The sequence below is a fragment of the Homo sapiens genome, chromosome 19 (genome assembly GCF_000001405.40).
Source record: "Homo sapiens chromosome 19, GRCh38.p14 Primary Assembly".
NCBI lineage: Eukaryota > Metazoa > Chordata > Mammalia > Primates > Hominidae > Homo > Homo sapiens.
Window position 1 is genome coordinate 17,740,305 of NC_000019.10, and position 11,341 is coordinate 17,751,645.

The following is an 11,341-nucleotide window of genomic DNA, read 5'->3' on the forward strand; positions in this document are numbered from 1 at the left end:
AAGGCCGGGCGCAGCGGCTCAACGCCTGTAATCTTAGCACTTTGGGAACACCTGAGGTCAGGAGTTTGAGACCAGCCTGGCCAACATGGTGAAACCCCGTCTCTACTAAAAATACAAAAACTAGCTGGACGTGGTGGCGGGCGCTTGTAATGCCAGCTACTCAGGGGACTGAGGCAGGAGAATCACTTGAACTCGGGAGATGGAGGTTGCAGTGAGCCGAGATCGCACCATTGCACTCCAGGCTGGGGGACAAAAGCGAGACTTCATCTCAAAATAAATAAATAAATAAATAAATAAATAAATAAATAAATAAATAAAGTGTCGTCCTGTCCACCAGCACATCTTCCTGTTGTATTTCCTTTTAATCCATAGCCCTAGCAGACTCTTACTTGTTTATATGTTTATATGTCAATATGTTTATATTGATTCCCCCAACTGTGAGCCCATGAGAGCTGCACCCTCTCCATCTTGGTTGTTTCTGGGTGCCCGCTGCCCAGGACAGGACCCAGTACCTGTACCCACACACCAGGTTCTTGGGAAATGTTGGTTGTGCCCCAGCTTGGCAGCACTGCTGGGTGACCTCGGGAATGTTCCTTAACCTCTCTGGGCTTCTCCTCTTCCCCAGTCTCAGAAATAAGAAAGTTGGCCTGAACCTCCAGGAAGAGCAGGGAGCCTTGGGCTGTTTTGGCAACTGGACCCCTGAGTTTTCTTCCCTGGCCTGTTCGGCCCCAGGCACTCCAGACAGGCCTGACCTATGTCATCCTGTCCTCCCCACCCCCTACAGCATCCTTTGGGATCTGGGCCCAGGGCAGGTGTGAGCTGTGGTACCAGCACACCCATGTCAAGTCCTGCCTCTGACGTGTGTTTGCTGTGTGACTTCCAAGAGTAGCTTGCTTTCTCTGAGCTCTGTTTCCCCTGGCCCAGGCTTGGGAGTGGAGTGTCTGGGGGAGTGTGGATGCAGTTCAGACCTCACCTGACAGGTGTGGATAGTACCAGGGCCAGGGCCCCCAAGAAGCTCCCAGGCTGGAGGGGGAGGGGGCAATGCCTAACATAACATCCCAGTCCTGGGGGATCAGCACTGGCTTGGAAGGAAAACCAGATGGGTTTTCAGGAGCCTGGGAAGCTAGCTGGAGGGCTTCTTGAAGGAGAGGACCACATAGGAACTAAGAGCTAAAGGTGGGAAGGAAATCTGGGATGCCAGAAGGAGGACTTCCTGGAGGAGGGGACCACATAGGAACTAAGAGCTAAAGGTGGGACGGGAGCCTGGGAGGCCAGAAGGAGGGCTTCCTGGAGGAGGGGACCACAAGAGCTAAAGGTGGGAAAGGAGCCTGGGAGGCCAGATGGAGGGCTTCCTGGAGGAAGGGACCATAAGAGCTAAAGTTGGGAAAGGAGCCTGGGAGGCCAGATGGAGGGCTTCCTGGAGGAGGGGACCAAACAGGAACTAAGAGCTCAAGGTAGGAAAGTTACCAGTCAGATGCACCCTGAGGTGGAACGGCTTTTGTGCCCCCTGCATTGAGGTGGGTAGAGAGAGGTGAGGACAGGAATGTAGGGAGGGCCGGACCCCATAAGCATGATGGGCTGCTGAGACAGGTTTGCAGTTTTTACCAAGAGTGCTGGGGAGTCTGGGGAGTGTTTCAAGCTGGAGAAAAAGGTGAGCAGTTTCTGTTTGAAACCCCACTGTGGGTCCCAGTTAAACATTCTGGAATTGCTACACACATGCACTTCAATGGAACAGCTGAGCACGTGAAGGTGATAGGACAGGCAAGCCTCAAAATTGGGGCTTAGTCTGAGAGGGTTCTTGGCTTCACCCAGGAAGGAATTTGAGGGCAAGTCAATTGTGTTAAACAGCAACTTTTCTTTTTCTTTTTTCCTTTCTTTTTTTTTTAAGATAGGGTCTCACTCTCATGCCCATGTTGGAGTGCAGTGCCATGATCTTGGCTCATTGCAGCCTCCAGGAGTCCTCCCACCTCAGCCTCCTGAGAAGCTTGGACCACAGGCACAGTCCACCATGCCCACCTAATTTTTTTTTTGAGATGGGGTCGTCTTGCTCTGTCACCCAGGCTGGAGTGCAGTGGCATGATCTCCGCTCACTGCTCCCTCTGCCTCCTGGGCTCAAGGGATCCTCCCACCTCAGCCTCCCAAGTAGCTGGGTCTACAGGCACAAGCCATGGAGCCCAGCTAATTTTTTGTATTTTTGGCACAGGCAGGGTTTCACCATTTTGCCCAGGCTGGTCTCAAACTCCTGAGCTCACGTGATCTTCCCACCTGGGCCTCACAAAGTGCCAGGATTGCAGGTTTGAGCCACCGCACCTGGCCTAATTTTTGTATTTTTTTTTTTTTTTTTTTTTTGTAGAGATGGGGTTCGGCCATGTTGCCCAGGCTGGTAAACAGCAACATTTTCTTCTTCTTCTTTTTTTCTGAGATGGAGTTTAGCTCTTGGAGTGTGATGGCATGATCTTGGCTCACTGCAACCTCTGCCTCCTGGGTTCAAGCAATTCTCCTGCCTCATCCTTCCAAGTAGCTGGGATTACAGGTGCCTGCCCCCACACCCAGCTAATTTTTTTGTTCTTAGTAGAGATGGGGCTTCATCATATTGGCCAGAATGGTCTTGAACTCCTGACCTCAGGTGATCCGCCCATCTCAGCCTCCCAAAGTGCTGGGATTATAGGTGTGAGCCACCATGCCTGGCCTTTTCTTTCTTTCTTTTTTTTTTTTTTTAGACAGGGTCTCGCCTTGTCACCCAGACTGGAGTGCAGTGGCACCATCTCGGCTCATTACAACCTCCACCTCCCAGTATCAAGTAAATCTCGTGCCTCAGCCTCTCCAGTAGCTGGGACTACAGGTGCCCACCGCCAGGTCTGGTCTGGCTTTTTTTTTTTTTTTTTTTTTGAGACAGAGTCTCGCTGTTGCCCAGGCTGGAGTGCAGTGGTGTGATGATAGCTCACTGCAGCCTCCAACTCCCTGACTCAAGCAATCCTCCAGCCTCAGCCTCCCGAATAGCTGGGATTATAGGCATGAGCCACCATGCCCAGCTAATTTCTGTATTTTTAGTACAGACAGGGTTTCTCCATGTTGGCCAGGCTGGTCTCGAACTCTTGACCTCAGGTGATCCACCCATTTCAGCCTCCCAAAGTGCTGGGATTACACCGCGCTTGGCCCTAAACAGCGGCATTTACTGAAATGGCCGTGTAGAGCAGCATCAGAGGTGCTGTTCCTTGCTGAGCAAGACCACTGTGCATAGGCAGTCCATCCAGAATAGTAGCTCACAGGCACAGCTGCACTCATATGTATACCCACTTTTAATTATATGCAAATGAAGGCCAGGCGTGGTGGCTCAAGTCTGTAATCCCAGCGCTTTGAGAGGCTGAGGCGGGTGGGTCACCTAAGGTCAGGAGTTTGAGACCAGCCTGGCCAACATGGTGAAACCCCGTGTCTACTAAAAATACAAAAATTAGCCAGGCATGGTGGTGTGCGCCTGTAATCCCAGCTACTCAGGAGGCTGAGACAGGAGAATCGCTTGAACCCAGGAGGCAGAGGTTGCGGTGCGCTGAGATTATGCCACTGCACTCCAGCCTGGGCAACAGAGCAAGATACCATCTCAAAAAAAAAAAAAAAAAAAAAAAAAAAAAATATATATATATATATATATATATATATATGTATATATATGCAAATTAAGGGGCAGTGTATGCAGAAACTTCCAGGAAAAGGGTGACAACTTCTGAGTCATCAGGGTTGTTGCCATGGAAAAGGGTGGTAACTTCTGCATGTTGTCATGGCAATGGTAAACTGACATGGCACACCAGTGGGCATGTCTTAAGGAAAGCCCCTTCCCTGGGGGTCTGTTTTATAATAGCTAGTCCTCAATTTGGTCCAATGTCGCAGCCCCACCTCTGGAGTTGAGTCCTGCCTCCTACTTTGGAGGGCTGACAGTGGGAGCCAGGTTTCTCAGGGATAAAGTAGAAGATCACAGACAGGCAAGGGGAGGAGGCTGAGCTCATGTTCAACCCAATATAGATAGTTACAGCAAAATATGTACAGATATGTGTATATACATATATACACACATACAGCTCCCTGCTCTGTCTGCAGACAGGGCCTCCAAGACACGTCACCCCAGTAACAAGTACACATTGGCCGGGTGTGGTGGTTTATGCCTGTGATCCCAGTACATTGGGAGGCCGAGGCAGGAGGATAACCTGAGGTCATGAGTTCACGACCAGCCTGGCCAATATGGTGAAACCCCGTCTCTGCTAAAAATATAAAACTTAGCTGGGTGTGGTCGTGGGCGCCTGTAATCCCAGCTACTAAGGAGGCTGAGGCAGGAGAATTGCTTGAACCTGGGAAGCGGAGGTTGTTGCAGTGAGCCGAGATCACGCAACTGCACTCCAGCCTGGCAACAGAGCGAGACTCTGTCTCAAGAAAACAAAGAAACAAAAAACAAACAAACAAAACAAAAACTAAAAAAAGCCCCCAAACCTGACAGATGCCATTCGGCCAGGAAATCAAGGTCAACACCAGCAGAGTAAGTCATGTTGACAGTTTGTACCTTTGATATGGTGTGATGAGATGGGTGCTTCACCTCTGTGGTCTTCCTTCCCCAAATCCATTACCCTCATTTAACTGTGAGAAAGACATCAGAGAAACCTCAATGGAGGGACATTCTGTAGAACACCTGACCACCATTCCTCAAAACTGTCCCCGAAAACAAGACAGTTTGACAAACCGTCACACCCCAGAACAGCCTAAGGAGACATGAGGAGTAAGTGTCATGTAAGATTCTAGGACAGAAAAAAGACATTGCAACCAATGGCCATACCAGTGGAAGGTGATAATCATGTGGGAGGCGGGCCGGGCGCACTGGCCCACTCCTGTAATCCCAGCACCTTGGAAGGCCGAGGCAGGCAGATCACCTGAGGTCAGGAGTTTGAGACCAGCCTGGCCAACATGACGAAACCCCATTTCTACTAAAAATACAAAAATTAGCTGGGTGTGGTGGTGGGTGCCTGTAATCCCAGCTACTCGGAAGGCTGAGGCAGGAGAATTGCTTGAACCTGGGAGGCGGAGGTTGCAGTGAGCCGAGATAGTGCCATTGCACTCCAGCCTGGCCAACAGTGAGACTCTGTCTCAAAAAAAAAAAAAAGAAAAAGAAAAAGAAAAAGGAAAAAGACACTGTAACAAATGGACATACCAATGGAAGGCGTTAATCACGGGGGAAGCAGGCCAGGTACAGTGGCTCACGCCTATAATCCCAGCACTTTGGGAGGATGAGCGGGGAGGATGGAGTGAGCTCAGGAGTTCAAGACCAGCCTAGGCAACATGGTGAAACTCCGTCTGTACAAAAAAATACAAAAATTAGCTGGACGTGGTGGTGCGTGCCTGTAATCCCGGCTACTTGGGACACTGAGGTGGGAGGATTGCTTGAGCCCGGGAGGCAGAGCTTGCAGTGAGCTGAGATGGCACTACTGCACTTCAGCCTAGGTGACAAGAGCAAGACCCCGTCTCACCAAATAAATAAATTAATAATAATAATAATAATAGGCCGGGTGCAGTGGCTTACACCTGTAATCCCAACACTTTGGGAGGCCGAGGTGGGCGGATCATGAGGTCAGGAGATCAAGACCATCCTGGCTAACACGGTGAAACCCCGTCTCTACTAAAAATACAAAAAATTAGCCGGGTGTGGTGGCGGGTGCCTGTAGTCCCAGCTACTTGGGAGGCTGAGAATGGCGTGAACCTGGGAGGCAGAGCTTGCAGTGAGCCAAGATCATGCCACTGCACTCCAGCCTGGGTGACAGAGCGAGACTCTGTCTCAAATAATAATAATAATAATAATAATAATAGACCAGGCACAGTGGCTCATGACTGTTAATCCCAGCACTTTGGGTGGCTGAGGTGGGAGGATTGCTTTAGCCCGGGGGTTTGATACCAGCCTGGGCAACATAGGGACACCCTGTCTCTATTAAAAAAAAAAAATTAAAGAAAAAAATAATAGGAGAAGCTGGGTGTTGGGTATACAGGAACTCTCTGTACTCTCTTCACAATAATTCTAAAACTGCTCTAAAATAAAAGGTTTATTTGGAAATAAAAGGAACTGGCCAGTTTCAGTGCTTCACGCCTGTTGTCCCAGCATTTTGGAAGGCTGAGGTAGGGGGATCGCTTCAGCCTGGGAGTTTGAGGCTGCAGTGAGCTATGATCACACCACTGCACTCCAGCCTGGGCAACTGAGCAAGACCTCGTCTCTAAACAAAGAAAGAAAGAAAAGAAAGAACAACTACAGTTGCCTTGGAGAATAGGGATTGTCTAGGGCTGGGATGGAGGGAACAAGAAACACAAATAAGAAACCGAGTTGGCATCCAGGCTGAAGACAATTGGGTCTTCGCTGGGACCACTATGGGGTGTAGGAAAATGGACAATTTGGAACTGTTTCAGAGACACTGAATCCACGGGATGAAATGCTGGTAATGAAGGGAAGAGAAGATCCTTAGGGCCTCCCAAGCTTCTGGTCTGTGCTCCTGGGCTGCCCTGACTGAGCCTGGGAGGCTGGTGGAGGGGCAAGAAAATCAGCCGGGTGCCCTGTCCCTAAGCAGAGGGTAGGATGGGGGACTGGCGGGTGTTGTGTAAGTTTATATTTTCTTTTTCTTTGTTTTTGTTTGTTTGTTTGTTTGTTTTTTAAGACGAAGTCTCACTCTTGTCGCCCAGGCTGGAGTGCAGTGATGTGATCTCGGCTCACTGCAACCTCCGCCTCTCGGATTCAAGTGATTCTCCTGCCTCGGCCTCCCAAGTAGCTGAGATTACAGGCGCCTGCCACCATGCCCAGCTAATTTTTGTATTTTTAGTAGAGACAGGGTTTCACCATGTTGGTCAGGCTGGTCTCGAACTCCTAACCTCAAGCGATCGAGTTCGAACTCCAAAAAAGAACTATCATATGGCATATGAGGGGATGACCTCCTCTGCAAGGTGCCGGATCCCGGGGCTGCCCTAGGCCGGCTGCAGACTTGCTGTGTGGCCTCCAAGCAAGATCTTGCCCTCTCTGAGCCTCAGATTTCCCATTTGTAAAATAAAGACCAATAATGTCCAGGTTACAGGCTTGTGGGGGGTCATCAACTGAGCCCTGCCTGTTCGCTCAATAAACGTTGGTCGCTCCTTACTCCTTACCACTGAGTCTCAGGGCGAAAGAGTGGCGCCTGTCTCTTTAAATTATGCAAATAGACTGCGGGTGGCGTAAGGGGGGGAACATAAAAAGGAGCCTAGTCTTCGGCTGGACCAATCAGCGCGCTGAGCTGGCGGAGCTGGGCGCCTAAATGGCCCAATGGGGGGCCGCGCGGGATCAGAGCCCGCCCTGCCTCCTGGCGCCGTCGCGGGGGTGGGGACTTTCTAGGCCACGCCCCGGGGGCGGAGCCCGCCGGCAGCCGCGCCGCAGCCGCGGAGGGAGGGGCGGGGCGGGCTCCGGTGTCAGCGACCAAGCCGCAGGTGGCGGCGAGCGCGGGGCTCGGCCCGAGCTCAGGAGGTGAGTGTTGCCCCCCGGAACCCCCTGGGATACCCTGGCCCGCGCAGCCTCCCACGCGCACCGTGCCCTGCAGCCCCGGCGGCTGCGGAGGGCAAAGGCGCGGCGGGACGCGAGGGATGGAGAGCAGGGGGTTGGGGCTACGCGGTGGGCGCCCCGGCTTCCCCCTCCAAGTGGTAATTGGGGGTCCGCAGGCGAAAATGGGGACCGCTCCCCAAATCCCCCGTCTCCTGGCCTAGAACCGAGCGTGCACGGGGGCGGCGACGACGCGAGACCCCTCCCCAAATTCTTTTATTCTAAGCCTAGGTCTGGGTTCTGGGGCTGCAAAGATGGGGGCGCCGCTCCCCTTCCAGCCTGGAACCCTGGGCGGTGGCTGAGATGGGGACCACCCGCAGATTCCCTCTTCCCAGCTCCGGCCTGCAGACCACCGGGGACCGAGACGAGGGACCCCTTCCCTTTTCCTCCACTGTGAACCCCTATCCAGGCCTGGTGGCTGGAGGAGCTGGGGTGTCACCTGGCCCCTCCTCTAATCTGCCCCATCCCAGTCCTCCACCTTAAGGATGGGGTGGGGGGCGTTTCACTGGCATCTTCTGTGGGGACCCCAAGGTTGGAATTTTGGGGAGGAGGTCACTGTGGGGTCCCCTGCCTGGCACGGTTTATCCAGGCCAGGCCTTGAAGGGCCTGGAGCCTGGACTTGGGGGGGGGGTCCCTCTTTTACTGAGGGGCGGGGTGTACAGCTAGCATCTGTTTCTGGGGATTAAAATAAATCGAGGTAAATTAGGATCTTGCCAGAGGCTGGCTGTGAGTGGGGTGCGGAGGAGGCTTGGGGGGTGGGGGACCCCTCCATCTGCCTTGGATCCCCCGAGTCACCTGCCCCAGCTGCACTGGGGACCAGGAGGCAGTGTCGAATGGACCTGCTTCACTGGTGACCTTGGGCAGGTGACAGCACCTTTCTGAACCTCGGTTTCCTCTTTTGAAAATTGAGGTTGGGAGCTTCGGACCCTGCATTTTACAGATTCTGAACTCACCCAGCCCACATTTTGTCCAATGGTGATTCACTCTTTTGCTTAACATGTGGGTGGTTTGGGGTCAAGACAGCATTGGGTTTGGAGACCCTCCCACAGTGCCTTGCTATCCTCTCAGCCTCAGTTTACTGCACTGCAAAATGGGTTGATGATGACACTCTGATATTGGGGCTGAGGGCATGGGGACAGGGAGTAAAACATAGGACCAAGCTGCAATGGCTGGGATGGGGCATCGCCACCCTGGTCTCACCATTGGGGCCACTTAGGGCACACCCTGACCCACATACCATCACCCACGCCAGGGGTGAACCTGTTCTCGGGCGAGGTCCTGGGCAGGAGGGGGTGGGAGTTGCCAGGCCAGCTCATTCCCTGTCCCTTGGAGCGCCCTCCCAGTGGTGGGCATGGGGCTGGGAGTCTGACACCCCCAGGTTTGAATTTGCCTCTACCTGTGTGTGTGTTTTTCCCTTGGTGCCTTTGTTTGTTCTTCTGTGAAATGGGCTGAATTCCTCTGGGAAGATGGGAGGAGTCTGTGGGAGGAGGAAGCTCTGTAAATACAGACATGATTATTATAATATTAATGACAGTATTAGTGCTCTTTAAATCGGGTCACAGCTGACCAGGAGGAGGGAGGGGAAGGGGGAGTCTATCAAAGGCATTGCCTGAGGAGACTCCAGCACCTGGGAAAGTTGGGTACACAGTAGGCATTCAATAGATGTTTGCCAAATGAAGTGAGGAAGAGGGAGGGGACCCATGGGGAGGACAGAAAATTTCTGAGAATCCCTGGCTCAGATTCCCACTTGGTGGCCCGAGTCACTGTGTGACCTGGGGCACGTGTCTCAGTTTCCCCATCGTGGTGCTGGTTGAGATAAGATACTGCCTTGAGGTGTGGTGACGAGAATCAAGCCAGATTGTCTGTGATCGCAGCCCAGGTGGCGAGGCCAAGAGGGGAGACATGACATAGTGGGTCATTGAAACAGCATGGTACCTGCTTGAACCAAGTGACTGGTCCGTGGGAAGGATGAGAAAACCCTTGCTACTGGCCCTACTGTACATACACTGGGGTCCAAGAGAGAGGGAAATGTGAGATCCTGTTTCCCAGGATCCTGGAAGCCAGATCGTGGAAGGTCAGGAGTGGCCCAAGGTCATCAGGCAAGACGTCAGCGGCTCCGGACACCCAGCCAGGCACCACTCGATTCCCAGGATGGGAGCTCGGGTCTTGCCTTTGTTGCTGATGTGGTTCCTGCTTTGTTTTATCTGTTCTGGGGCTGCTCACATGTCTCAGCCCCAGGTTTGCAAGACTTGGTGCCGGGAAGGCAGGATGGGGACCTCTGAGTCAGCTGGCAATGTGCTGTGTAACCTTGGGCAAGTCTCCGGCCATCTCTGGGCTTTGTGCTGGTACTGTACAGGCTGGGAGACTTGGGTTCTAGCAGGGCTGACTTCTCCATCAGACCCAAAATGCCCAGTGTCTCAGGCTCACAGTGCTTTTAGGGGTCCCTAGGTTGATGTTTTCACTTCTTTTAAAATCCAAAGGGAAAAAAATGAACTCTTGGGTTGAAGGAAACATTTTTGTGTATAATATTAATATATTTGTCTTTATGTCAATGTAGTTGTAAAATACAGTTTTGTTTTGTTTTGTTTTTGAGACAGAGTCTCTCTCTGTCACCCAGGCTGGAGTGCAGTGGCTCGATCTCCGCTCACTGCAACCTCCATCTCCTGGGTTCAAGCGATTCTCCTGCCTCAGCCTCCCGAGTAGCTGGGATTACAGGCATATGCCACCCCACCCAGCTAACTTTTGTATTTTTAGTAGAGACGGGGTTTTACCATGTTGCCCAGGCTGTTCTCGCACTCCTGGGCTCAAGCAATCCACCTGCCTCGGCCTCCCAAAGTGCTGGGATTCCAGGCATCAGCCACCACCTAAAATATAATTTTAAATTTCTTTTGTAGTGAAGGAAAGCGCTCATGAATGCAAAAATGTCTTCCCCTTTCTTTTCTTTTTTTTTTTTTTTTGAGATGGAGTCTCGCTCTGTCGCCAGGCTGGAGTGCAGTGGCGCAATCTCGGCTCACTGCAACCTCTGGCTCACTGCAACCTCCACCTCCCGGGTTCAAGTGATTCTCCTGCCTCAGCCTCCTGAGTAGCTGGGACTACAGGCATGGGCCACCACGCCCAGCTAATTTTTGTATTTTTAGTAGAGACGGGGTTTCACCGTGTTGGCCAGGATAGTGTCAACCTCTTGACCTCGTGATCCACCCACCTTGGCCTCTCAAAGTGCTGGGATTACAGGCGTGAGCCACCGCGCCTGGCCATGTCTTCCCCTTTCTGAGCGCATTTCCCTCTCTGAGCCTCAGTTTGCCCAGTCTGTGAAGTGGGTATCGGCCTACCTCAGGATGGCAAGATGTTGAATGCCTGGGCCAGGGTTGGTGCTCAGTTATTTCCCAATTGCCATGATTAATATTTGTTCGGTAAGAACAGCTCCAGGTTCAGGCCGGGGGGCTCCAGGTTCAAGCGCCTCTTGTTTACTCACCCATGGCCTGTGTGGTTCCAGGGAGGTCCCATGGGTGCTGATCGGGCGGGGGAGGAAAGGTGGCGGTTGGATGGTAGGCGGGGCGGGGTGAGCTTCCTGTCCCCCCCCCAACCCATGCACACAAGCCTCCAACTTGGTGCTGACGGAAGTGGCCTCGTGGCTGTCTCCTGGCGCCTGCCCCGTCAGACAGGGGCCCCATCCCACTCGCTACCCTGTCCGGTGAGTTTGAGCCCTGGCCAGTAGATACCCATCATCTCGCCTTGGCCCCCCTCAGGAACAGAGGGGAG

General features: G+C 52.7%; 1 protein-coding gene and 1 long non-coding RNA gene across 72 annotated transcripts in view, besides 2 other annotated features; one reads left to right on the top strand and one right to left on the bottom strand.

Moving 5' to 3' along the window:
- Nucleotides 1-11,093, bottom strand: part of FCHO1-AS1 (FCHO1 antisense RNA 1) — an 18,063-nt gene extending 6,970 nt beyond the window's left edge. The window contains exons 1-4 of one of the 2 annotated variants that reach the window (XR_007067151.1): nucleotides 10,912-11,093; nucleotides 10,354-10,446; nucleotides 8,979-9,077; nucleotides 4,550-4,623 (exon numbers count right to left, since the gene is read on the bottom strand). This is a non-coding gene — a long non-coding RNA (FCHO1 antisense RNA 1). The remainder of the gene's footprint in view (nucleotides 1-4,549; nucleotides 4,624-8,978; nucleotides 9,078-10,353; nucleotides 10,447-10,911) is intronic. The other variant, XR_007067152.1, reaches the window with a different exon arrangement.
- Nucleotides 3,556-3,850: an enhancer, noted in NCBI's record as "tiled region #7159; K562 Activating DNase unmatched - State 6:EnhF". NCBI's record gives its function as "activates a minimal TATA promoter and a strong SV40 promoter by Sharpr-MPRA in K562 cells {active_cell/tissue: K562}" and the evidence as "EXISTENCE:reporter gene assay evidence [ECO:0000049][PMID:27701403]".
- Nucleotides 7,226-7,645: a silencer, noted in NCBI's record as "silent region_10359". NCBI's record gives its function as "represses an Ori minimal core promoter by ATAC-STARR-seq in GM12878 lymphoblastoid cells {active_cell/tissue: GM12878}" and the evidence as "EXISTENCE:reporter gene assay evidence [ECO:0000049][PMID:35858748]".
- The window catches only part of FCHO1 (FCH and mu domain containing endocytic adaptor 1), a 40,818-nt gene continuing 36,916 nt past the window's right edge, over nucleotides 7,440-11,341 (top strand). For 53 of the 70 annotated variants that reach the window (NR_169234.1, NR_169238.1, NR_169232.1 and 50 more), the window contains exon 1: nucleotides 7,440-7,510. The gene's annotated coding sequence lies outside the window, so the exon portion shown is untranslated. Of the gene's footprint in view, nucleotides 7,511-11,172; nucleotides 11,274-11,341 lie in introns of those variants that run through there. The other 17 variants (NR_169256.1, NR_169254.1, NR_169253.1 and 14 more) reach the window with 1 other exon arrangement.